General features: G+C 49.1%; 2 protein-coding genes across 25 annotated transcripts in view, besides 12 other annotated features; both read left to right on the top strand.

Moving 5' to 3' along the window:
• The window catches only part of DNMT3B (DNA methyltransferase 3 beta), a 46,972-nt gene extending 35,446 nt beyond the window's left edge, over positions 1–11,526 (top strand). For 8 of the 23 annotated variants that reach the window (NM_001424355.1, NM_175849.2, NM_001424358.1 and 5 more), the window contains 7 exons: positions 630–813; positions 1,414–1,498; positions 2,323–2,468; positions 3,005–3,095; positions 3,448–3,596; positions 4,555–4,640; positions 9,932–11,526. In NM_001424355.1, the coding sequence (NP_001411284.1) occupies positions 630–813; positions 1,414–1,498; positions 2,323–2,468; positions 3,005–3,095; positions 3,448–3,596; positions 4,555–4,640; positions 9,932–10,073 (883 nt within the window). In that variant the 3' untranslated portion in view covers positions 10,074–11,526. Of the gene's footprint in view, positions 1–629; positions 814–1,413; positions 1,499–2,322; positions 2,469–3,004; positions 3,096–3,447; positions 3,597–4,554; positions 4,641–7,507; positions 7,578–8,378; positions 8,498–9,931 lie in introns of those variants that run through there. The other 15 variants (NM_006892.4, NM_175848.2, NM_001424352.1 and 12 more) reach the window with 3 other exon arrangements.
• Positions 356–1,555: an enhancer, noted in NCBI's record as "CDK7 strongly-dependent group 2 enhancer chr20:31385992-31387191 (GRCh37/hg19 assembly coordinates)". NCBI's record gives its function as "activates an origin of replication core promoter dependent on BRD2, BRD4, P300/CBP, MED14 and CDK7 cofactors, with strong dependence on CDK7, by STARR-seq in HCT116 cells {active_cell/tissue: HCT116}" and the evidence as "EXISTENCE:reporter gene assay evidence [ECO:0000049][PMID:35650434]".
• Positions 356–1,786: a biological region, named in NCBI's record as "CDK7 strongly-dependent group 2 enhancer GRCh37_chr20:31385992-31387191".
• Positions 1,285–1,786: an enhancer, noted in NCBI's record as "OCT4 hESC enhancer chr20:31386921-31387422 (GRCh37/hg19 assembly coordinates)". NCBI's record gives its function as "activates a minimal SCP1, AML or CMV promoter by ChIP-STARR-seq in primed H9 embryonic stem cells {active_cell/tissue: H9 hESC(primed)}" and the evidence as "EXISTENCE:reporter gene assay evidence [ECO:0000049][PMID:30033119]".
• Positions 2,709–3,512: an enhancer, noted in NCBI's record as "H3K27ac hESC enhancer chr20:31388345-31389148 (GRCh37/hg19 assembly coordinates)". NCBI's record gives its function as "activates a minimal SCP1, AML or CMV promoter by ChIP-STARR-seq in naive H9 embryonic stem cells {active_cell/tissue: H9 hESC(naive)}" and the evidence as "EXISTENCE:reporter gene assay evidence [ECO:0000049][PMID:30033119]".
• Positions 3,513–4,316: an enhancer, noted in NCBI's record as "H3K27ac hESC enhancer chr20:31389149-31389952 (GRCh37/hg19 assembly coordinates)". NCBI's record gives its function as "activates a minimal SCP1, AML or CMV promoter by ChIP-STARR-seq in primed H9 embryonic stem cells {active_cell/tissue: H9 hESC(primed)}" and the evidence as "EXISTENCE:reporter gene assay evidence [ECO:0000049][PMID:30033119]".
• Positions 6,185–6,998: an enhancer, noted in NCBI's record as "H3K27ac hESC enhancer chr20:31391821-31392634 (GRCh37/hg19 assembly coordinates)". NCBI's record gives its function as "activates a minimal SCP1, AML or CMV promoter by ChIP-STARR-seq in primed H9 embryonic stem cells {active_cell/tissue: H9 hESC(primed)}" and the evidence as "EXISTENCE:reporter gene assay evidence [ECO:0000049][PMID:30033119]".
• Positions 9,087–9,886: an enhancer, noted in NCBI's record as "OCT4-H3K27ac-H3K4me1 hESC enhancer chr20:31394723-31395522 (GRCh37/hg19 assembly coordinates)". NCBI's record gives its function as "activates a minimal SCP1, AML or CMV promoter by ChIP-STARR-seq in primed H9 embryonic stem cells {active_cell/tissue: H9 hESC(primed)}" and the evidence as "EXISTENCE:reporter gene assay evidence [ECO:0000049][PMID:30033119]".
• Positions 9,887–10,684: an enhancer, noted in NCBI's record as "OCT4-H3K27ac-H3K4me1 hESC enhancer chr20:31395523-31396320 (GRCh37/hg19 assembly coordinates)". NCBI's record gives its function as "activates a minimal SCP1, AML or CMV promoter by ChIP-STARR-seq in primed H9 embryonic stem cells {active_cell/tissue: H9 hESC(primed)}" and the evidence as "EXISTENCE:reporter gene assay evidence [ECO:0000049][PMID:30033119]".
• Positions 11,851–12,352: an enhancer, noted in NCBI's record as "OCT4 hESC enhancer chr20:31397487-31397988 (GRCh37/hg19 assembly coordinates)". NCBI's record gives its function as "activates a minimal SCP1, AML or CMV promoter by ChIP-STARR-seq in primed H9 embryonic stem cells {active_cell/tissue: H9 hESC(primed)}" and the evidence as "EXISTENCE:reporter gene assay evidence [ECO:0000049][PMID:30033119]".
• Positions 21,841–22,430: a silencer, noted in NCBI's record as "silent region_12810". NCBI's record gives its function as "represses an Ori minimal core promoter by ATAC-STARR-seq in GM12878 lymphoblastoid cells {active_cell/tissue: GM12878}" and the evidence as "EXISTENCE:reporter gene assay evidence [ECO:0000049][PMID:35858748]".
• The window catches only part of MAPRE1 (microtubule associated protein RP/EB family member 1), a 30,629-nt gene continuing 28,089 nt past the window's right edge, over positions 21,947–24,486 (top strand). Inside the window, exon 1 of one of the 2 annotated variants that reach the window (XM_011528696.3) lies at positions 21,947–22,087. The gene's annotated coding sequence lies outside the window, so the exon portion shown is untranslated. Of the gene's footprint in view, positions 22,088–22,123; positions 22,199–24,486 lie in introns of those variants that run through there. The other variant, NM_012325.3, reaches the window with a different exon arrangement.
• Positions 22,503–23,172: an enhancer, noted in NCBI's record as "H3K27ac-H3K4me1 hESC enhancer chr20:31408139-31408808 (GRCh37/hg19 assembly coordinates)". NCBI's record gives its function as "activates a minimal SCP1, AML or CMV promoter by ChIP-STARR-seq in naive H9 embryonic stem cells {active_cell/tissue: H9 hESC(naive)}" and the evidence as "EXISTENCE:reporter gene assay evidence [ECO:0000049][PMID:30033119]".
• Positions 23,173–23,842: an enhancer, noted in NCBI's record as "H3K27ac-H3K4me1 hESC enhancer chr20:31408809-31409478 (GRCh37/hg19 assembly coordinates)". NCBI's record gives its function as "activates a minimal SCP1, AML or CMV promoter by ChIP-STARR-seq in primed H9 embryonic stem cells {active_cell/tissue: H9 hESC(primed)}" and the evidence as "EXISTENCE:reporter gene assay evidence [ECO:0000049][PMID:30033119]".

Genomic DNA, 24,486 nt, shown 5'->3' on the forward strand with positions numbered 1-24,486 from the left:
TGTGTTTTTAGTACAGACAGGGTTTCACCATGTTGACCAGGCTTGTCTCGAACTCCTGACCTCAGGTGATCCACCTGCCCCAGCCTCTCAAATCCCAGCACTCCCAAAGTTCTGGGATTACAGTCATGATCCACCGTGCCTGGCCTATTTTTTGTAATAAATAAAAAGTGTAATAAACGCTGCCTCGGCTGGTCTCAAATCCCTGGGGTCAAGCCATTCTCCTACCTCAGCCTCCCAAAGCCCCAGAGTTGTAGGTGTGAGCCACCACACCCAGCTAGAAGTGCTCTTAATAGGCCAAGAGCATGAGGGAAGGGGATGAGTAGGGTGTCAGGGAAGGCTAATTCCCTGGTTTGCCAGTTGGCCTGTAATCCAAAGTGTCCATGGAATGAAGTAGGTTGTCGGGAGAGCATTTCTGATCAGAGAGCCTGTGGGATTAAGGGGGTTGGGGCATCCAAGGAAGACGTCAGGGAAGCCCGTACTGCACAGGGCCCCGCAGGCTATGCTGTTAAGCAGCCGATCCTAGGTAAGCTTTCAGGAGGGGGTTGGCATTTCCCTGTGGAAGTGGTAAGGGGGTGGCACAGGAGACCAGCTCTGACAAAGGCATCCCTTCTCCCTGCCACTGGGTCCAGGTGTTTCTGTGTGGAGTGCCTGGAGGTGCTGGTGGGCACAGGCACAGCGGCCGAGGCCAAGCTTCAGGAGCCCTGGAGCTGTTACATGTGTCTCCCGCAGCGCTGTCATGGCGTCCTGCGGCGCCGGAAGGACTGGAACGTGCGCCTGCAGGCCTTCTTCACCAGTGACACGGGGCTTGAATATGTAAGCCACAGGCTCCCGCCTCTACCACCACAGATCCCAGGGGCACAGGGTGTTGGAAAGCTCTGGAATTCTCAGAAAGAGTAATAGAAGTAAAGACACGTTGTACCTCTTGGAGCCTCAATGGCTGAGAGACCTGGCGAATTGCCAGCTCCTCTGCACGGTTTTCAGCCGTGCCAGGGTTCATTCACTCCCTCCTTGCCGGCTTCTCAGCGTATGGATTTTCAGGGGCCTGATGAAGAAATGGTTGTATGTAGCCTTCTGAGTTAGCAGAGCTGAGAGGGAAGGAAACAGTAGAAATGAATTTTCTAGTTCTTAGAGGGAAGCCCTAGGTCATTCCTGTCTGGGGTGATACCTTTTCATGTGTGCCTCTGTGCATACATATCTGGCTCATGTCCAAGGATAAATTGACCATTCCTTGCCAAATGCAGGCTCGTGTGGTACACACTTGTCTCCCCAATCCCCATCAAGCCTTCAGTGGGCTTTTTGCAGTGGCTACGGCAAGGTTTGAAGCCCTCTGAGCAGGGTCAGCCTGCCCCTCCCTCAGAGCTTGAGTCTTTGCCCTGTGCCTTCACCACCATGACCTCCTTCCTTACCTGGCAGGAAGCCCCCAAGCTGTACCCTGCCATTCCCGCAGCCCGAAGGCGGCCCATTCGAGTCCTGTCATTGTTTGATGGCATCGCGACAGGTGAGTTCGGGGAACACCTGGAGACACTGCTATCGTGTCACAACAGGGTAGCCAGGGAGTCAGAAGGCATGGTTAAGGTGTCTGACATCAGTGGCAAGAAAGGTCCCTGGGGATTACCAGCCCTGAAAAAAACCCTGTCTCCTTGTTTCTCTCCACCTTCTCAACCACCTTGCAGTCTTGGTCATTGAGTTTTATTTATTTATTTTTTCGAGATGGAGTCTCCCTTTGTCACCCAGGTTAGAGTGCAATGGCGTGATCTGTGCTCACTGCAGCCCCCATCTCCGAGGTTCAAGTGATTCTCTCCTCAGCCTCCCAAGTAGCTGGGATTACAGGTGCTCACCACCACGCCCAGCTAATTTTTATATTTTTCGTAGAGACGGGGTTTCTCCACGTTGGTCAGGTTGGTCTCGAATTCCTGACCTCAAGTGATCTGCCCACCTTGGCATCCCAAACCGCTGGGATTAGAGACATGAACCACCGTGCCTGGGCAGTCTTGGTCATTTTAAAAGGACATACATCTTAGCTGTTACACTTTATTTTTTATGTGCAGTTATCTTGAACTTGATTTTCATTCCACATGCATAAGTATAATTGGAGATAAACTAGTTAACAACTACTGCTACCTCTGGTTTTGGTTCCCTTCTTTTCCTCCTATATGGAGTTTACACAGCCAATATGTGTGGTGCGTGTACAGCCTTTGCTGGATTGAACGCATGTGATACAGTCATGAGGAACTGTTCATTTTACCATAGCAGGGAGTGGAGGAAATGAGCTGCTGTGTGCTCAGCATCATTTATGCTTCTGTGTCTCTCTGGCCCCCACAGGCTACCTAGTCCTCAAAGAGTTGGGCATAAAGGTAGGAAAGTACGTCGCTTCTGAAGTGTGTGAGGAGTCCATTGCTGTTGGAACCGTGAAGCACGAGGGGAATATCAAATACGTGAACGACGTGAGGAACATCACAAAGAAAAATGTGAGGGCAGTCTGTACCTTGCGGGCCTCATCTCTTCCTGTCTTTTTCCCCAGTCCTCCACACCCTGAAACCCACATGTAGGCCCCATCCCTGAGACCCCAGAAAAAAGGATTGAAATCCTGTGGGAATCTTAAGCATTAGGTTAGGGTCAGAAGTGGAGTTGGTGACCAAGCAAGATTCTATTTTTTTCTGGAGACAGTCTCCCTCTGGAGTGCAGTGGCATGATCTCAGCTCACTGTAACCTCTGCCTCCCGGGTTTAAGCGATTCTCTTGCCTCAGCCTCCCAAAGTGCTGGGATTACAGGCACCTGCCACCATGCTGGGCTAATTTTTATATTTCTAGTAGAGTTGGGGTTTCTCCATGTTGGCCAAGCTGGTCTCGAACTCCTGACCTCAGGTAATCCACCCCCGCCGTCAGCCTTCCTGGGATTACAGGTGTGAGCCACCTCGTCCAGCCCCACGCAAGATTCTAGAAGTGGGTCCAGCTCTCTTTCCCTCTGTCCACACCCTCATCCTGACTCTGTCTCTCTCTTTCAGATTGAAGAATGGGGCCCATTTGACTTGGTGATTGGCGGAAGCCCATGCAACGATCTCTCAAATGTGAATCCAGCCAGGAAAGGCCTGTATGGTGAGCATCCTTCTCTCTGGCAGTCCCTGGAGAGCCTATGTCACCTGACCACTGGCCCAGGTGCAGCAGCCTGAGAAGGAGCCACTTGCTTCTGGCCAAGTTACTGGCAGCATCAGGGGCCTGTTGGTGCTGCCTACGCTCCATAGTAAATCCTCAGCCCACAAGGGAAATACCCTAGTAAATAGTGCCCTGCTGCTGCCTGTGTCCCTGCTGTCATTCAGGTGGACATAGACTGGTAGGCATCACCCTGAACTGTCAGGAGGCCATTGGGAACCTGCTGGTCTCAGGGAATAAGGTGGGTTGGGCTGGAGGTTTCAAATGAACCCTGCGCTGTCATCTTTTCTGAGCACAGAGGGTACAGGCCGGCTCTTCTTCGAATTTTACCACCTGCTGAATTACTCACGCCCCAAGGAGGGTGATGACCGGCCGTTCTTCTGGATGTTTGAGAATGTTGTAGCCATGAAGGTTGGCGACAAGAGGGACATCTCACGGTTCCTGGAGGTGAGGGAATCTGGGGACCTGATTGTCACAGACAGCCAGGGCAGGGAAAGCGCTGCTGGCAGTGATGATTGGTGGGTGTTGCCAACATTGGGAATGACTTTCCCGTTCTTGGTCTGGCTAGATCCAATAGTGAGGGATTCAGTGGGTTCTCTTAGTACATGGAAAATATTTTTTTTGAGACAGGGTCTTGCTCTGTCACCCAGGCTGAAGTACAGTGGCATTATTACAGCTCACTGGAGCCTCAAACAGCTGGGCTCAGGCAATCCTCCTACCTCAGCCTCCCAAATGGCTGGGACTACAGGGGCACACCACCGTGCCCAGCCAATTTTTGTATTTTTGGTAGAGACAGGGTCTTGGTATGTTGCACACCCTAGTCTTGAACTCCTGGGCTCAAGCAATCCGCCCACCTCCCAACGTGTTGGGATTGGAGATAGAGATGTGAGCCACCATCCCCTGCCAGTACAAGGAAAATAATTGATCTCTAATCTCAGCCCAACTCTTTGAAGTCAGAAATGATGAAACAAACCATCATCTGCTGTTAAGGACTCATGAGATTTGACTCAATTTTTTACTCTAGAGAGTTTTCTCATTTTTGATATGAAAACTGCTTTAGACCAGGCACAGTGGCTCATGTCTGCAGTCCTAGCATTTTGGGAGGCTGAGGTTGGAGGATCACTTGAGCCCACGGTGTATCATATTTTGTAATAATCTGGCGTATCCCAGGGGATACCGTCTCAGAATCTGCAGGTTTGACCTTATCTCTTTAGCTACCATTAGCATAGTATGAGGGCATTTACCATGTCCTCTAGCCAGCCTCCTGATGGCAGTAGGTCTTTCCTGTTTTGGAGGATCCGTGCCTCATCCATAGTCAGGGAATAGCCCTGTCACCTGCAAAGGTCTGGTTGACACTGAAACTCTAATAATAGGCTCCTAACAGTAACCTTCTTTCTCCCCACAGTGTAATCCAGTGATGATTGATGCCATCAAAGTTTCTGCTGCTCACAGGGCCCGATACTTCTGGGGCAACCTACCCGGGATGAACAGGTAACAAAGGGCTCTTAGTGGGTCAGGTAACAGCCAAGTTAAATATGTGATAACAAGCTCTGACATTCAAGCCTTCCTAGAAAGACCTGGCTCTGCTGAGAAATAGTTATACTTGGATTTCAGACCACCTGTGGTCGTGCGGGTTGATCTCTGTTAAGATGTTCAGCAAGTACCTGGGAATCTCTGTAGGAGTCCCACTCTTACCTGTTGTAAGCTGCTGATGGACCTGATCCTAAAAGTCCCACGTGGCTGGGTGTGGTGGCTCACGCCTGTAATCCCAGCACTTTGGGAGGCCGAGGCTGGAGGATCGCTTGAGCCCAGGAGTTCTAGACTAGCCTGGGCAACAAAGTGAGACCCCGTCTCTACAAAAAAATAAAGAAAAATACAAGTCTCATGAGCTGTGGCCAGACTGTGTACCTCCTTCCTGCCAGGGATCTCTCAAGACTTGAGCTTGTTGATGCTCCTGCCCTTCACCTCTCCTCCCCGTTGATGTAGTGACAGCCGTCTGGAAATGGAAGTAGATTGTTGTTACCGGTGCCTTTCCTCCTGCCCTGGAGATGAAGCGATCTTGGCCAGGCTCATGGTGACCAACCAGGTGGCAGAGCTGCTATGACAAACAATAGCCCAAAGACTATGTCCCTCAGATTCTCATCACCAGGAGCATTTCATATTTTGTTATCGTATACTAAAAACAGTCTTCTTCAGACACTCTGAAAGCCACAAAGCAGCTTTGCTGAGGATTAATTATTTCTTCTATATGTGGTTTCAAGGAGAAGAACTTGCTAATTAAGATGTAAAATGTTATGGTAATGTGACATCCCAGACTTGCAAATGAGTTGAGCTTAAAACATTCTCCTGTAGAAGGAGGCATGGAAACATAATAACCTTCTGCCACTTAGTGAAGTGTGGACAGAGGTGAGGGTCCTGGGGTAGCTTGGAGGATTTTTGTTGGTCACCTTGCCCGTGTACTTGGCTAAGCAGCCAGTCTTAGGGTGCCATGTCTGTGTCTGGAATTAAATGGGTTAATGCTTTCAACATTTGAACTCCCAGTAGGCCAGGCACTGTTACGCTGTTGCCATTTTCATGGTTAAACACATCATGTCGATAGTGACATGCCGAAGGGGGAGGGAGAGAAGACAATGATTTGGGGTTTATTGCTGGCGGATGGACATTGGAAGGGTTGATGGGGAAGGCTTCTCATTCTAGCGAAGGTCCTAAGTGAAGGGATGGACCCATGCAGTTATTAGAGTACTCCAGGTGGGAAGAGGGTCTGGGATGATGGGAAACATCCCCAGACCAGCTCAGAGCACCCTAGGTGGGGTGGCTGGGAGAGAAGGACCAAGTAACTTGGGCCTTAATGTGGTACCGCTGAAATCACTTTGGCATGGGAAGTTACAGATGAGATGAATTGTGCTTTGGTTCATGGTAGTTTCTGGGTGGATTATAGACAATAACAGGATGGAGGCGGGAATGGGGAGACAAGTGAAGGGACTAGACTGCTCAAAGAAGGAGAGATGACTGATTATGATGTTATGCCCCAGGAGGTGCCATCCATAGAGAACACAGTGTGAGTGGTGGCCCCTGGGGTTTGCAGCACAGCAATCCTGTGACTTAGCAAGGACGGATCAGATTCAACATATGTGGAGGGTAGGACATTTGCTGATGCATTGGATGTGTAGGCTATGAGGTGGAAAGAGCAGTGAGACCTGATGCAGATCTGATGCTGTGACTAAGCTCTGCAGGCTTATAGGATGGGTGTGTCAGGCATCATTTAGGGGACAGACCCAAGTCATCTGGCTTGTTTAGAGCTTAATCTTATAGTCAGCACAAGGCGGGGCTGTGCAGTGTCCTTTTCTTCTGGGCCCTCAGCTCCCCTGGGTCCATGTCGGAGGTAGGAATGGGGATAGAGGTAGCATTTGAAGCCTGGCAGGTGAGGTCAAGGAAATCTATCAGTCTAGGGGAAATATGTGTTGTGATTTCCTCAGCCCCTCTTGTAGGCACGGTTCCCGTTCTCATGTCTGAGTTGTTTGGCCTTGACGTTCCTAACACAGGTTACTATGGCCGTCCCTGCGTCCAGTCCTCTTGCACCAGTTTCTGTTCTGGAGCTGCTCAACTACTTTCAGTTCTAGCCCTTGCCCTTCTTAGTCATCTGTTTGCCTCTCTCTGCATTTGCAAAATAATTTTCAAGGGTGAAAGTTAAAAGGGTGCTTAGTCTTTTTTTTTTTTTTTTTTTTTGGAACCTTAAGAGACAGGGTCTGTCTCCCAGGCTGGAGTGCAGTGTTGTAATCATAACTCACTGTAGCCTCCAACTCCTAGGCTTAAGCGATCCTCCTGCTTTGAACTCCCAAATTGCTGGGATTAAGGGTAGGAACCACTGCAGGCGGTTGCCATTCACTTTTAAAGCCTCCTGAGGCTGTATCCCCAGCAGTGAGCCACCAAACCGTGGGTGTGATATGATAATTGTATCAGGTAGACCCACAAAAATCTATTCCAAGCTCCTCACTTTAAAATAGACAGGAAGCCCAAAGGGGTAGTGTGACTCGCTCAAGCTCAGTCAGTGAGCAGTGTGGAGCTGGGACCTGAGGTTTCTCCTGCCCTACCCCATGCAGTGTTCCTGCTCAATGGGAACCTGACTTTGAAGTCCAGGCAGGGGAGCATTACCTCCTGGATGCTGGGCTGTCCCCTCTAGCCCATCCTTGGCTTTGGCACACAGGCTTGTGCTCATGCCAGGATCATTTTCATCATTTATTTGTAGCCAAGTTCACTGCCAGGGCACATCTCTGCAACATAGACCCTCACTCCCACCTTGTGCCTAGCAGAGGACCCTCTATAGCTAGTAAGAAGTAATGGGTTTTGGCTGTTCCCAGGCCCGTGATAGCATCAAAGAATGATAAACTCGAGCTGCAGGACTGCTTGGAATACAATAGGATAGCCAAGGTAAGACGAGCTGTGGCCCTCTGGAAAAATGCACTTGGTGACCTCCAAGTGGGGACTTGGGAGATGACCTTGGTGTTTGATTGGTTCCTACTCCTCCCCCCACGTGACTTCCTGGTGTTGGGCTTCCCTCTCCCACATGATTGTTCTGTCCCATCCTCAAATACAGAGACTAGGAGACATTCGTGATAAGTAATCACGACGAGAAAAGGCAACTAGTCTTTTTAATTTTAGTACTGGATACATAAAGACAAAGAGTTTCAGCTGGCCCTCTCAGGGAGAAAGGAATCATTAATCCTTTTGCCAAAAAATTAATTTGCTGTCAAGTCATAGAATATGAAGACCTCCATAAACCTAAATCTCAATGTTTGCATCAAGCTAAGATCCATTTTCTAAACTCCAATTGAGCATTCTCTGTATCTGGGTGGTTTTTACTTTTTTACTTAATCTTGCTTGATCAGGAACTCTGGTGTCTTCTTGGCCCCCCACGTGATCTCGTTCATGGTCACTTTTTTGTTTATCTCATTTTCTCTGAGGCTGGTCCTTCCTGTTAACGTCTTGGCATTTGTGGGAAGCACAAAATGTTCTTGTCTCTCCAACTCTGCTTTTCGCTCCCTGCCCTGCCATTCCTCTCCCGCGCCTGCCCTCTCCCTTCCATCTTTCCCAGGTACTTTTCTCTCCCAGCCCTGCCACTCTTCTGCCGCACCTGCGCTCTCCCCTCCATCTTTCCCAGGTACTTTTGAGCCTTGACTCCCCAGGTCCCTTCATTCTGTGCTCACTCCATGATGTCATTTTGTTCTCCAGTTAAAGAAAGTACAGACAATAACCACCAAGTCGAACTCGATCAAACAGGGGAAAAACCAACTTTTCCCTGTTGTCATGAATGGCAAAGAAGATGTTTTGTGGTGCACTGAGCTCGAAAGGTGAGCAAGGCTGCACTTGGAGAGGGAAACTGTGTAGATCAAAACACAAATGGGCAGACATGGGCAGGTGCTTACCTTCATTCTTGATGGCCTCACTGCCCTTTGGTGTTACTGGGGCGAGGAGTAATAATACCTTTTCATAGTTCGCCCTTATTTCCTGACAAAAATGGCGGAGGGGGTGTGGTGGTGGTGAGGAATCTGAGACATGAGGTCATTAGGCCACACCATCTGTCTGTTGGCTGCACTGCCGTGACATCTGCCTGTCCCAACATGCTGGGACACTACGATGTGTGAGAAGCCAGTGAAAGAAAACCCCACAGACATGCCATTCTTGAAGACTTCAGTTTGCTCATTCTATAAATGATTCCTTCTTAGCCACAGTTTATCCTCTCCTTCCCTTTCTTTGGGCTAAGTTTGTCTGTTTTGATGCAAATAACCATCTCTTGGATTTCAGTTCTGTTCTGTTCTGTTTTCTTTCACTCCTCTATTGTTTGTTCATTTTGCTTATACTATTTTTTAAAAATCATTATTTGCTATAGTGATTATGGCTTTGAACATTCCTCTTTACATGTATTCTGTATTCTGAAGGCTTTGATATAGAGTATTTTCATTCCAGATATTTCACTTCTATAACTCATTTAATTTCTTCTTTGACTTACCAACAGTTTTCTGAGTATAAAAGTAACTTCTGATTAGTATTTATGCTGTAGATTATTCTGTATGGACCTAAACCTAAAATGGTTGGTGCAGATGGCTGACATTGTGTAGACGCTAAGACCAAGCAAGACACAGGCCTGAGGTATCACATCTTTGGCATGTTTCTGAATAACCCACGCAGCCATTGGCCTGTTGGGATGACTTTTAGTATTGGATTGTATACCTGAGTAACACTGAGGCTCAGCCTCTGTAGCCTCTTTCCAGGCCTGGTAGAATCCTATAGAGGAAGCTTTTGGTATATTTGATGCCATCTGCCTGGAGTCATCTAGCATGGTCCTTCATCCGGCAGCTGGGTTTGAAGAGGGAAGGAAAACTCTGGTTGCCTGAGCCTGTGATGACTGAAAATCTAGGCTGTTTTTGAGTGACCTTGTTCCTTATTAAGGAAATTGCTTAACTTCTCCCATCATAGTGTTTTGAAAATGGATACATTGCTGGCTGGCTGATTTAGTATGCATGCATTTATTCTAGGAAGGTCCTCTGAGCACCAACTCTATGCCAAGAGTATGGTGCTAGGCCTGCACAAAACGGGGGACTTTCATTTGTGAGCAATTTGTAAGCAAGTGTTCTGAATTAAGGGCTCTGAATTTAGGTCCTTGGGGACCTTACTGATGGGACTGAGGGATGGCGAGGGCAGAAAGAGTGGGACCTGGCTGGTTGAGGCTGTCAACATCCTGGAGGCACTTCTGACTTGCTGTCTTTTCACTCCGGTACCCCCAGGATCTTTGGCTTTCCTGTGCACTACACAGACGTGTCCAACATGGGCCGTGGTGCCCGCCAGAAGCTGCTGGGAAGGTCCTGGAGCGTGCCTGTCATCCGACACCTCTTCGCCCCTCTGAAGGACTACTTTGCATGTGAATAGTTCCAGCCAGGCCCCAAGCCCACTGGGGTGTGTGGCAGAGCCAGGACCCAGGAGGTGTGATTCCTGAAGGCATCCCCAGGCCCTGCTCTTCCTCAGCTGTGTGGGTCATACCGTGTACCTCAGTTCCCTCTTGCTCAGTGGGGGCAGAGCCACCTGACTCTTGCAGGGGTAGCCTGAGGTGCCGCCTCCTTGTGCACAAATCAGACCTGGCTGCTTGGAGCAGCCTAACACGGTGCTCATTTTTTCTTCTCCTAAAACTTTAAAACTTGAAGTAGGTAGCAACGTGGCTTTTTTTTTTTCCCTTCCTGGGTCTACCACTCAGAGAAACAATGGCTAAGATACCAAAACCACAGTGCCGACAGCTCTCCAATACTCAGGTTAATGCTGAAAAATCATCCAAGACAGTTATTGCAAGAGTTTAATTTTTGAAAACTGGCTACTGCTCTGTGTTTACAGACGTGTGCAGTTGTAGGCATGTAGCTACAGGACATTTTTAAGGGCCCAGGATCGTTTTTTCCCAGGGCAAGCAGAAGAGAAAATGTTGTATATGTCTTTTACCCGGCACATTCCCCTTGCCTAAATACAAGGGCTGGAGTCTGCACGGGACCTATTAGAGTATTTTCCACAATGATGATGATTTCAGCAGGGATGACGTCATCATCACATTCAGGGCTATTTTTTCCCCCACAAACCCAAGGGCAGGGGCCACTCTTAGCTAAATCCCTCCCCGTGACTGCAATAGAACCCTCTGGGGAGCTCAGGAAGGGGTGTGCTGAGTTCTATAATATAAGCTGCCATATATTTTGTAGACAAGTATGGCTCCTCCATATCTCCCTCTTCCCTAGGAGAGGAGTGTGAAGCAAGGAGCTTAGATAAGACACCCCCTCAAACCCATTCCCTCTCCAGGAGACCTACCCTCCACAGGCACAGGTCCCCAGATGAGAAGTCTGCTACCCTCATTTCTCATCTTTTTACTAAACTCAGAGGCAGTGACAGCAGTCAGGGACAGACATACATTTCTCATACCTTCCCCACATCTGAGAGATGACAGGGAAAACTGCAAAGCTCGGTGCTCCCTTTGGAGATTTTTTAATCCTTTTTTATTCCATAAGAAGTCGTTTTTAGGGAGAACGGGAATTCAGACAAGCTGCATTTCAGAAATGCTGTCATAATGGTTTTTAACACCTTTTACTCTTCTTACTGGTGCTATTTTGTAGAATAAGGAACAACGTTGACAAGTTTTGTGGGGCTTTTTATACACTTTTTAAAATCTCAAACTTCTATTTTTATGTTTAACGTTTTCATTAAAATTTTTTTTGTAACTGGAGCCACGACGTAACAAATATGGGGAAAAAACTGTGCCTTGTTTCAACAGTTTTTGCTAATTTTTAGGCTGAAAGATGACGGATGCCTAGAGTTTACCTTATGTTTAATTAAAATCAGTATTTGTCTATAACTGTCTGATGTCCCTTTTCTTCTGCAGGTCAGATGGATGGGACATGGGGGAGGGCCTGGCTAACATGTCAGGGTGGGAGTTTGGAAGTAGGTGATTCATTCATTCATGTATTCAAACGCAATGTGACCCCAAGCTGACTGGAGCTTACTTACAGTGTAATACACTGGTTCTGCACCATTGGCTCACGCCTGTAATCCTAGCCAGGGTGGGCGGATCTTTTCAGTCCAGGAGTTCGAAACCAGCCTTGCCAACATGGCAAAACCCCGTCCGTACAAAAAAAAAACCAATAATCCAGGCTGGGCACGGTGGCTCATGCCTGTAATCTAAGCACTTTGGGAGGCCAAGGCGGGCAGATCACAAGGTCAGGAGATCGAGACCATTCTGGCTAACCCTGGAAACCCTGTCTCTACTAAAAATACAAATTAGCCAGGTGTGGTAGTCCCAGCTACTCTCAGGAGGCTGAGGCAGAAGAATGTCGTGAACCCAGGAGGCGGAGCTTGCAGTGAACCTAGACCGTGCCACTGCACTCCAGCCTGGGCAACAGAGCAAGACTCCGTCTCCAGAAAAAAAAAAAAAAAGAATCCAGCACATCTGCTTCCCTTGGAGGGCTTGTCAGGGCTGTGGTTGCTGGCCCAACCTCCAGAGTTTCTGACTCCAAGTGGACCCTAGGAATTTTCAGTCACACGGTGGCACAATTACTGCTCATTGCAGCCTGGACTTCCCGGACTCAAGTGATCCTCCTCTGTCAGCCTCCAAGTAGCTGGTACCACAGGCATGCACCACCACACCCAGCCTGACCCTAGGAATTTGATGCCACTATCCAGGGAACACACCGGACTAGTGAATGGGTATCTAACTCATGGTTCCCAAATATGGCTTGAGTGTCTGAATTCATTTAAAAGCTCCATGTGTGGGACACCTGTTTCCAGACATACAGATATTGGGGAACTGATCAAGGTGATAATCACCTCTAGCAAAAGATCCTAATGATGATTCTCACAGTTTGTCGCGCTTCGGTGGGATTCTATACCTTATTCCACAGCTCCCAAGTTGATGTGTTGCAGGTCAACCACCTTCCGTGAGGGGGCTAATTGGGAGTGGCCCTGTGGTCCCAGCCTAGCCCGTGTCCTCTACCCTTTGGAGTGTGATTCTCAGCATGCCCCCAACTAAAATCCTGGCCTTCAATGAGCACTCACGATGTCGGTTGCCCTTCTAAGCCTAATATTGCAACACCAGTAATCCCATTTTACTTTACATGGGGTTCCCCAGGCAGAAGTCCCAAGGCCAGAGCCCATCGGGCCACACTCATCTCCAGCCTTTGGTCAGGGAAAAAGGTTAATGCTGGTTAGCTAGCGCATTTAGAGAGGGAATAGGGTGGTGCACTTGGGGTTCACCCACTGAACACCAGTCAGACCGAGCACCTCTGAGCCTCCCAGGCCATGTGTGAGTTGGGCTATAATCATGGCCATCTCTTAAATAAGGTCAGGTTTCTAAAGGGCCTGGCCCAGGGTTTGGGGAGGGAAGAAGCTTCCAGAGTGGAAGGATGAACATGTTATTAGAAAGGTGCTTCAGGACTAGAACAGCCCACGTGCAGGTTGCCATGGTGAGATAACTGGCAATTAGCAAGCTAGCCCCACACAACCTCCCCTGCCTCCCCGGGTATTGAGACCCCAGGGACCTGGGCCACCCAATTAAGCCATCTTGTGTACAATGCTGCACCAAATACCAGGACAGGATGAAGCCAGCTAAACAGCCCTGGCCTCGAAACCCTAAGACAGACGGGCAAGCCCTCCAGATGAGGGGTCCTTGGCGTCCTGGCCTGCTTGTTGGAGTTGGGGGACTCAGAGGGAGTATGGGGGTAATTCTTGTGTTTTCTCAAGATGAGGTTAGGCTGGTATCTGAGTGATCCCAGGTGTTGAGGCAGGGGGAGAATGCAGTGAGTGTTCTGATCTGGGGAAAGAGGTTGGAGTTTGAATCCTATGTGGGCCTTTGCTGAAGCAGTCTTTGGGTTTGCTTGGATTTGTGTCTGGGGTCTGGCATGTTTCTGTGTCACTTGGAGCAAGCAGATGACTTAACCTCTTGGGGTTTTTCATCTCTCACCTAAAAGGTGGAGATACCAGCCCGGTCAACATGGTGAAACCCCATCTCGACCAAAAAAGACAAAAATTAGCTGGGCGTGGTGGCATGCACCTGTCATCCCAGCTACTGGGTGTGGCTGAGGTGGGAGAATGGCTTGAACCCGGGAAATGGAGGTTGTCGCTGTGAGCTGAGATCGCACCACTGCACTCCAGCTTGGGCGACAGAGTGAGACTCTGTCTCAACAACAAAAAAAAGTGATAAAATGGAAATAATAAATCCTACCTACTTCATAGGGTTACTGAAGTTCAAAGGCCAGATCTAGGTAAAGTGCTTTGCCTGACACCTGGCAGGCAATAAACTTCACATATATGAGATGGCATTATTGTAAAAATGAGACCTATTAATCAATGCAGTGCTAATGACAATGAAGACTGGATGCACGTAGTGATAGTAACACACAATGTTTATCAATAATAATAGCCATAGGCCAGGCACGCTGGCACACACCTTGCAATCCCAGCACTTTGGGAGGCTGAAGTAGGCAGATCACTTGAGTTCAGGATTTGAGACCAGCCTGGGCAGCACGGAGAGGGTTTCACACCCCCCTCTACAAAAAAATTTTAAAATTAGCCAGGTATGGTGGCACGCCCCTGTAGTCCAGCTACTCGGGAGGCTGAAGTGAGAGGACCACTTGACCTCAGGAGGTGGAGGTTGCAGTGAGCCGAGATTGCGCCACTGCATTCCAGCCTGGGCAACAGTGAGACCCTGCCTCATACAATAATAGTAATACTTTTTAAAAGGCAGGGTAATATTTCCCCAGATGTTGTCAGCAGCTAGGCTGACTGGTGTCAACTGTAGCAACAGTGGCATCGGGTGTGGAACTTGTGCCCCTCACCACCCCCCACATCCTGTAGAGATCCCAATGCTCCTTGCGAGGGTTCCCATCCTGTCTCCACTTCCCTGCTAATTTGTGACCTTGGGCGTGCTTGGGCCTTGTTTACCCAACTATAAAATAGGGATAATATCAACATCACAGAGCTGATGCGCGGATCAAACAATTCAGTATATGTGAGGCACATGGGATGGGGACTGAATGCTGAGTAAATGACAGTGACAAATGACCCAAAAATGCTTTTTTATTACTGTTAGAGAATTCTGGCAACCCTGTGAGGCCTGATTACCATGATTATAAGTAAGAGAACTGACTCCAAGGAGGTCTCATCACATACCCAAGGTCACCCAGCTAGCAGCAAAAGGAGTTGTGCATTGGAATCTGCTCTGGGAAGCCAGTCTACTTTTTCTCCTTGGTCTCACCTGCATCTTTGTTCTTGTTTGTTGTTTTGCTGGAGCTTGAAATTACCTGCTGCCCTTTGTAGCATTTTGCCCTCCTTCCTAGCTTCCTTCCCTTCCTTTTATCCTGCCTACTTCTCCCCTTTCTTTCTTTCCTTTTTGTGTAACTTTATTGGTTTTTTTTTTGAGACGGAGTATCGCTTGTCGCCCAGGCTGGAGTGCAGTGACGTGATGTCGGCTCACTGCAAGCTCTGCCTCCTGGGTTCATGCCATTCTCCTGCCTCAGCCTCCTGAGTAGCTGGAACTATAGGCGCCCGCCACCACGCCCGGCTAATTTTTTTTTATTTTTTAGTGGAGACGGAGTTTCACCGTGTTAGCCAGGATGGTCTCGATCTCCTGACCTCGTGATCTGCCCGCCTTGGCCTCCCAAAGTGCTGGGATTACAGGCGTGAGCCACCGTGCCTGGCCACTGATCCACCGCGCCCGGCCACGTAACTTTATTGATTTTTAAAAACTTTAAATTATGCCAGGCACGGTGGCTCACACCTGTAATCCCAGCACTTTGGGAGGCAAGGCGGGCGGATCACGAGGTCAGGAGATCGAGACCATCCTGGCTAACACGGTGAAACCCCGTCTCTACTAAAAATACAAAAAATTAGCTGGGTGTGGTGGCGGGCGCCTGTAGTCCCAGCTACTGGGGAGGCCGAGGCAGGAGAATGGCATGAACCTGGGAGGCGGAGCTTGCAGTGAGCCGAGATCATGCCACTGCACTCCAGCCTGGGTGACAGAGCGAGACTCCATCTCAAAAAAAAAAAAACAAAAACCCCACAACTTTTAACTAAAAAATACGCAGGCCAAGTGTGGTGGCACACGCCTGTAGTCCTGGCTACTTGGGAGGCTGAGGTGGGAGGATTACTTGAGCTTATGAGTTTGAGGCTGCAGTGAGCTGTGTTCCTGCCATTGACTCCAGCCTGGGTGACAGAGCAAGACTCTGTCTCTAAAAAAATTACTAAAAATTGGTAATTTTGGACTTACAGAAAACTTGCAAGAATAGTAGAAAGAATTCCTAAATACTCATAACCCAAATTCCCCAGATATTAACATATTGTCACATTTCCTTTGTCATCTTCTCTATATATTAATAACATTTTTCTGATCTCGGCTCACTGCAACCTCTGCCTCCTGGGTTCAAGCGATTCTCTTGCCGCAGCCTCCCAATTAGCTGGGATTACAGGTGACTGCCACCGTGCCTGACTAATTTTTCTATTTTTATTAGAGACGGAGTTTCTCCATGTTAGCCAGGCTGGTCTGGAACTCCTGACCTCAGGTGATTTGCCCGCCTCAGCCTCCCAAAGTGCTGGGATTACAGGCGTGAGCCACCATGCCCGGCTAATTTTTTTGTATTTTTTAGTAGAAACGGGGTGTCTCCATGTTGGTCAGGCTGGTCTCGAACTCCCGACCTCAGGTGATCCGCCCACCTCAGCCTCCCAAAGTGCTAGGATTACAGGCGTGAGCCATCATGTCCGGCCTGTTTTTATTTTTAAGGCTCCCAATTAATTGTGAAATATGCAAACAGAACAGTGCATAAAGCCTGGTGCTTTAGGCTTTGTAACCTATCTTTGTTCTCTAAGCTTTGGTTCATCCCAAGGTCTGAGCATTGCTGAAAGAAAACAGAGGTTGGCGTTACTGGAGTTGGTAACTGCTCATTCTGAGTCTTTGCACATGCTGTTCTCCACCTGTAACAGCCTTCTCCCCTTTCCAGGCTGGTCCTCCAGTTCTTGCCTCTTCCAGGAAAATTTCTTTGCACCTATTCTGAGCAGAATTAGGAGCCCTTCTCCAATCTGAATCCTCCTTCCCTATGTATAGATAGAAGAATCGGGCTGGGTGCAATGGCTTATGTCTGTAATCCCAGCACTTTGGGAGGCTGAGGTGGGCAGATCACCTGAGGTCAGGAGTACAAGACCAGCCTGGCCAACATGATGAAAACTTGTCTCTACTAAAAATACAAAATTAGCCGGGTGTGGTGGCACATGCCTGTGATCCCAGCTACTTGGGAGGCTGAGGCAAGAGAATCGCTTGAACCTGGAAGGCAGAGGTTGCAGTGAGCCTGGATGGCGCCATTGCACTCCAGCCTGGGCAACAGGAGTGATACTCCATCTCAAAAAAAAAAAAAGAAGAAGAATTGGCTGGGCGCTGTGGCTCACACCTGTAATCCCAGCACTTTGGGACGCTGAGGTGGGCAGATCATTTGAAGTCAGGAGTTTGAGACTAGCCTAGCCAACAGGCTACTACCTGTCTCTACTGAAAATACAAAAATTAGCCGGGTGTGGTGGTGCAGGCCTGTAATCCCAGCTACTTGGGAGGCTGAAGCGGGAGAATTGCTTGAACTCAGGAAGCGGAGGTTGCAGTGAGCAGAGATCACACCACTGCACTCCAGCCTGGTTGACAGAGCGAAACACCGTCTCAAAAACAAAACAAAACACAAGAAGAATCTATCTCACCACAAAGCACTATGTATTATAATTTCTGATTTTTTTTTTTTTTTTTTTTTTTTAGGCAGCGTCTTGCTCTGTTGCCTAGGCTTGAATGCAGTGTGGTGATCACAGGCTCACTGCAGCCTCGACCTCCCAGGATCCATTGATCCTCCCACCTGAGCCTCCAGAGTAGCTGGGACTTCAGGTGCATGCCACCACGCTTGGCTGATTTTAAAATTTTTTTGTGGAGTTTGAATCTTGCCATGCTGTCTCTCCTTGGCCTCCCAAAGTGCTGGGATTACAGGCATGAGCCACCACATCTGGCCTATAACTTCTTATTTTTGTAGTCTTCTCCTCCATGAGTTTGTGAGATTCTCAAAGCAGCTTGATCTCCCAACATCATTATTTAGTTCAATAAAGTTGTCATACATTTGTAAAACTCAGGCCTTGAAGTACAATTATTTTGTTTGTTTTGTTTTTGGACAGGAGAGTCATAATTTCTATCTGTGATAATGAGATTGCTTCACATATTAAAACAGTTGCTTTAAGATACATATTACATCTCCGGAGCCATTTCTCTTACAGGATGGAGATTCTTTTTTCTTTTTACCCTCTGGCCTTTTGCTGTCAAGGCTTAATCTGACCCAGATAACCTTGGCCAGCTTTTTCCTCAGTGAGAAGAGTGGATGCTAGCAGGTTACCTGGCCCAATGTCAGTTTTTTGGGAGCTGTCTTGGGAGGGTAGATGAGTTGTACTTTAGAGGGCCTTGCTCCTCTAAAATAGAGTTATCTCCTGTAACTTCCTGTGTCTCCAGAATTAGGTCCAAACTTTCTAGGCTGGCTTTTTTTTTTTCCCCACCTGGAGACAGAATCTCACTCTGTCGCCCAGGCTGGAGTGCCGTGGTGTGATCTCAGCTCACTGCAACCTCTGCCTCCCTGGTTCAAGCGATTCTCCTGCCTTAGCCTCCTGAGTAGCTGGGATTACAGACGCATGCCACCATGCCCTGCTAATTTTTGTATTTTTAGTAGAGATGGGGTTTCACCATATTGGCCAGGCTGGTCTCGAACTCCTGACCTCAAGTGATCCGCCCACCTTGGCCTCCCAAAGTGCTGGGATTACAGAGCCATCATGCCACTGCACCCGGCCTAGAGGCTTTTCCTGATTTGGTTTTCTACACTGATCTCATCCCCCATACTAATGTCCTCACTCCAGACCAAAATGGCCTGCAGGTAATGCTGATACCAATTAATTGACATAATTTAATAACTGACTTTAGACGAAAGGACTCAGAAATCACATTTATTGAGCACATACTATGTGCTAGGCGCAGTCTGATAACTTTATACACTTCCCATTTAATTCTAACAGAATTTGAACCCAGACATACTGGCTTCGCCGTTTATTATTTAGCCTAATGAAAAGTTAATGTCTTTGTGGATAAAACAGAGGTGGCTGGGTGTGGTGGCTCACGCTTGTAATCCCAGCACTTTAGGAGGCCAAGGTGGGCGGATCACGAGGTCAGGAGTTTGAGACCAGCCTGGCCAATATGGTGAAACCCTGTCTCTACTAAAAATACAAAAATTAGCCGGGCATGGTGGTGTGTGCCTGGAATCCCATCTACTCAGGAGGCTGAGGCAGGAGAATGGCTTGAACCCAGGAGGCGGAGGTTGCAGTGAGCCGAGATCACACAATTCCACTCCAGCCTGGGCGACAGAGTGTCTCTGTTTCTTCGTTTTTTAAAAAGAATATAAATAAATAAAATACAGGTAACAGATGTTGCATCAAAGCACTTATAAATATCTTTAGTTGATTATCTATGCTTGACATCAGCTCACCATAATGTTCATATTACTGCTGTCGCTATAATCATTTGTTACATGGTTTTTTATTCTTTATTGTTGCCTCTTTTTTTTTCTTTTTCTTTTCTTTTTTTTTTTTTTTTGAGTTGGAGTCTTGCTCTTTTGCCCAGGCTGGAGTGCAATGGTGCCATCTCGGCTCATTGCAACGTCCACCTCCTGGGTTCAAGCAATTCTCCTGCCTGAGCCTCTCGAGTAGTTGGGATTATAGGTGTCCGCCACCATGCCCAGCTAATTTTTGTATTTTTAGTAGAGACGGGGTTTCACCATGTTGGCCAGGCTGTTCTCCAACTCCTGACCTCGTGATTTGCCGACCTCAGCCTTCCGAAGTGCTGGAATTACAGGCACGAGCCACCGCGCCTGGCTTTTCTTGCCTTTTTTTGCTCAAACTCTGTTTTTTTTTTTTCTTTGAGACAGAGTCTTGCTCTATCACCCAGGCGGGAGTGCAGTGGCACGATCTCAGCTCACTGCAACCTCCACCTCCTGGGTTCAACCAATTCTCCTGCTCCATCCTCCCAAGTAGCTGGGATTACAGGCGCGCGCCACCACGCCCAACTAATTTTTGCATTTTTAGTAGAGACGGGGTTTCACCACGTTGGTCAGGCTAGTCTCAGACTCTTGACCTCGTGATCCGCCCACCTCGGCCTCCCAAAGTGCTGGGATTACAGGCATGAGCCACCACAACTGGCCTTGCTCAAACTCTTTTGCCAAGGTAACTCCTCATCTTTCATGGTAAGTGTCATTTCTGGGAAGCTTTTCCACACTACCTAGGAGAGGTCATGTCTCTTGTGGTGTGCTCTTGGAGCAGTACTCGAGACCGAAGTATTGAAATGCCTCTAGACCTGCTGATAAACAGCTCCTGCCCCAGCTTCCCCACCCATTCTTCCCTGAACGTCTTACTGGGTTTCAGCAACTAACTGGGTGAGATTTGGCCTAGAGGGACCTCTAGGCCCCTGCTCCACACAGTGGAAGTACCATCAGCCCACCACATAATGTCCCTGCCTAGCATTGAGCCTGATTTGTAATTTAACAAGGATTTGTGTCATTAGTTGTGTCCCCTTTGCCTCCCCTGCCAGTCTGGAAACTTTAAGAGGTCAGAAGCTGTGTCTAGTTTTCGTTTTTATCTCTTAGAGATGGAGTTTCACTCTGTTTCCCAGGCCTGGAGTGCAGTGGCGTGATCTTTGCTCACTGCAGCCTCGAACTCCTGGGCTCAAGCGATCCTCCTGCCCCAGCCTTCCCAGTAGCTGGAACTAAAGGCACGTACCACCATGATCAGATTGTGTCTTTTTTTCACCAGGGCCTGATTGGTCAGGGAAAATATTTGTTGAATACTTGAATAAATGATACCCAGACAAAAAAAGTCAGCTTGAAATCTGGATCTACCTCTGACACTGAGTGAGTCAATTGGCCTCTTTGTCCCTCAGTTTCTTTCTGCTGTAAAGTGGTGCAGTTCCTCTTTTTTTCTTTTTTAGACGAAGTCTGACTGCAACCTCTGCCTCCCAGGTTCAAGTGATTCTCCTGCCTCAGCCTCCCAAGTAGCTGGGATTACAGGCGCCCACCACCATGCCCGGCTAAGTTTTGCATTTTTAGTAGAGATGGGGTTTCGCCATGTTGGACAGGCTGGTTTCCAACTCCTGACCTCAGGTAATTCATCCGCCTTGGCCTCCCAAAGTGTTGGGATTACAGGTGTGAGCCACCACGCCCAGCCCAGTTCCTCCTTCAGCCAAGGCTCTCTTGAGAATGTAAGGGCCAGGTGTGGTGGCTCACGCCTGTAATCCCAGCACTTTGGGAGGCCGATGCGGGTGGATCTCTCGAGCCCAGGAGACCAGCCCAGCCTGGGCAACATGGCAAGACCCCATCTCTTAAAAAAAAAAAAAAAAAAAAGAGGGAGTGGGCAAGAGAGAATGTATGTACAGCCATTGGGAAACAACCCGGAACAGGACTCAGGAGGTCCTTGCTCCTGTGGACTTTACAGGAGACAGACAGTAAAGGCACAAGATGCCTTCTTATGGTACTAAGAAGAAAATATGCCGCATGATATTGCAGATGGGGGGGCGGGGGCGTCACAGAACGTGACTTTTTTTTTTTTTTTTTGAGACAGAGTCTTGCTCTGTCGCCCAGACTGGAGTGCAGTGGTGCAGTCTCGCCTCACTGCCACCTCCGTCTCCTGGGTTCAAGTGATTCTCCTGCCTCAGCTTCCCAAGTAGCTGGAATTACAGGCGCCCACCACCACGCCAGGCTAATTTTTGTATTTTTAGTAGAGATGGGGTTTCACTATGTTGGCCAGGCTGGTCTCAAACTCCTGACCTCAGGTGATCCTCCCACCTGGGCCTCCCAAAGTGCTGGGATTAAAGGCGTGAGCCACTGCACCCGGCCCAGAAAGTTGACTTCTAAGCGTTTCCCCAAAGTGTCTATTAGGTATCTTTATGATTCAATAACCCATTCTTACAGAAATTAATTGTAAGCCTGGGAGCGGTGGCTCACGCCTGTTATCCCAGCGCTTTGGGAGGCTAAGGCGGGAGGATCGCTTGAGGCCAAGAGTTCGAGACCACCCTGGGCAACACAGCGAGACCTCCATACATCTCTAAGCAAAAAAAAAAAAAAATTCATTGTAAAAGCAATTTTCTTTTTGGTTACTGCCATAGGGATTTTGTAACTGAGTCACACCGGGCCGAGGCGGGACCTCATTGGCTGCGACCGACCACGTGCCGCAGTCGCCCCGGCGGTCGGGGCCCCGCCCCTCGGCTACCGTTCTGTGGATCAGGGGCCGAGCTCCGCCCCCGGCGCGCGGCTGAGACCCTCTCTATAAAAGGAGCCGGCGGAGGATGGCGAGCCTTTACGTCGGCGCGTAACGAGGGGGTGCGTGTGAGGTCATCGCGCGGGCGGGCGGGCGGGGTCTGGCGGTTTGAACGAGACGAAGACGGAACCGGAGCCGGTTGCGGGCAGTGGACGCGGTTCTGCCGAGAGCCGGTGAGCCGGCTAGCGGGCCCGGGGGGTGCGGCTGGGGGGGCGGCCGCGTGGGCCAAGGCCGGGCGTGCGCGGGCAGGCCCTACGGGCAGCGCCAGGGCCGTTCCACACGGCGGTGCTGTTCGAGCCGGGTGGGGGAAGGGCGGGGCCGTCACCCGGCGCGCGCGGGCTGGGCCTGGGGGCGCGCGCTGCGCTCTGCTCAGGGGGCGGGGTCTCGGGCCGGAAGTGGGCTGCTGCTACGCGGGGTGGGGGTTTCTGGGCCGCCGCTGAGGTGTGGTCCCTGCGCTGCAGCGACTGGAGGTCCCAGGGTGGTTGGGCCCTGGGAGGGTGTGGGCGAGGTGGGCCGTCCTGGGAGCTCTGGGGACGCACATTGTGGGAGGCCGTGTTGCCTGAGGGCCGAGAGATCGGGTGGTGGAGTCAGACCTGGGTTGGGTTCCGTGCGGTGTGACCTTGGACAGGTGCTTTAACCGCTGTGGATCTCAGCTTCCTCATCTGTAAAACGGGGACAGTAATACTACCCACATTAAACTCTTAGCGCGATGTATGGCAGAAAGTAAGCCAGCTCTTGGACTCCCTCCTTTCTTCAGTGTGTGTTTATTGAATGCCCACTAGGTGTTGGGCACCGTGCTAAACCCTGGCTGTTTTCCCGGGAACAAAGATTTGCTCTCCAGGAATCCACATTATGATGAGCAGGAGGACAGTATAACGGGATGGTATCAACAGTGCTAGTTCAGTCCCTACTTCACAGTTGCCCTCGGATGCTGCAGGGCAGAGCTTGACCTCTGCCCCATTTTGGGGATGAGGATCCTGGGGCCCATTGAGGGAGGTTATGCTAGGCCGGGCATCCGCTTCTCCGATGGCATGTCTCTAACAGTAGTAATGATAATAGCAGCTCTTTGTTAGTTGGGCACTTGTTTTGTGTCAAGCACTGTTAAGTGCTCCATGTGGCTTTGTGTCTTTTAATACTAACACTGTCTTTAAGAGAGATTCTCTTCTTCCTTTTTTTTTTTTTTTTGAGACAGAGTTTTATTCTGTTGCCCAGGCGTGCAGTGGCACCATCGCTCACTGCAACCTCCGCCTCCCGGGTTCAAGCGATTCTCGTGCCTCAGCCTCCCGAGTAGTCGGGATTACAGGCGCGCGCCACCAAGCCCGGCTAATTGTTGTATTTTTTAGTAGAGACGAGGTTTCGCCATGTTGGCCAGGCTGTTGTCGAACTCCTGACCTCAAGTGATCTGTCCGCCTCGGCCTCCAAAGTGTTGGGATTACAGGTGTGAGCCACCGCGCCTGGCAAGAGAGATTACTTTCATTTTACAAATAAGGGGTCTGAGACTCTGAGAGGCGGAGTGTCTTATGCAGCCCAGCAAGTGGCTGAACCCCCACCTGGGACTTCAGTGTCTAGGCTCTTAACCTCTTTATTACACTTTCTCCCTGAGGTCCAGAGCTACACATCCAGATGTGCCCTTTGTGGTGGTGCGTCAAAGTGCCTAGCACAGTTTTTGGCACAGAGGGAAGCTTAGGACGTGATGTGCCTTTTGCTTAAGTGTTTTCATGTAGATTTTTGTTTAATCCTTACCACCACTTTGTGCAGAGATACTGTTTTACCCATTTTACAGGATGAGCCATTTGTGATGCAGGAAGATTAAGTGACTTGCCCACGGTCACATAGGTCCTTTCTGGTGGCACCTCCTTCCCCCACTTTACATAGGGCTTATTGTGGTGCCTTGAAAGTAATAGAGTGCTTTAGAGCCAGCGTTGAATTTGTATAGGTTTGGGATCTTGCTAGGAGAGCTGCTGAAGGAAGAGAGATTCCTGGGTAGGTTTGAGGGAGCTTTTTCATGGTGGTGGTGGAAACCTGGATCAGGAAGCCTTGTAAGGGTGAGATTTGTGTGGTAGTCATGGGTCTTCCATGGCTGCCAATGATGGAATTGTGAAGGAAGGGTGAGCTGGAGCTCTGTTTTGATTGTCAGGAGGAGCCAATTAATTGATTGAGTCGGTGGATGTTCATTGTACATCCACAGGGTGCCTAATCCATGTATTTAGTGGCTGCAGCGTTTGTGGAGCACGTGGGACCAGGTATTAATGTACTGCTAATGAAAGTTTTAAATTATATGATGATGAAAGGCCATTAATGTTTTTTGAGCTGGGGTGTGGTCAGGAGACACACATGGCTTTACCAGCTGCTTAGATTTTATAGCAGCATGATGCACACGATACAGTATATATAGGAATGTCGCCATAATAGATTACAATTGCTCAGCTGGGACCATGTCTTTTTTGTTTGAATGTCTCTG

Source organism: Homo sapiens, chromosome 20, assembly GCF_000001405.40.
Source record: "Homo sapiens chromosome 20, GRCh38.p14 Primary Assembly".
Lineage (NCBI taxonomy): Eukaryota > Metazoa > Chordata > Mammalia > Primates > Hominidae > Homo > Homo sapiens.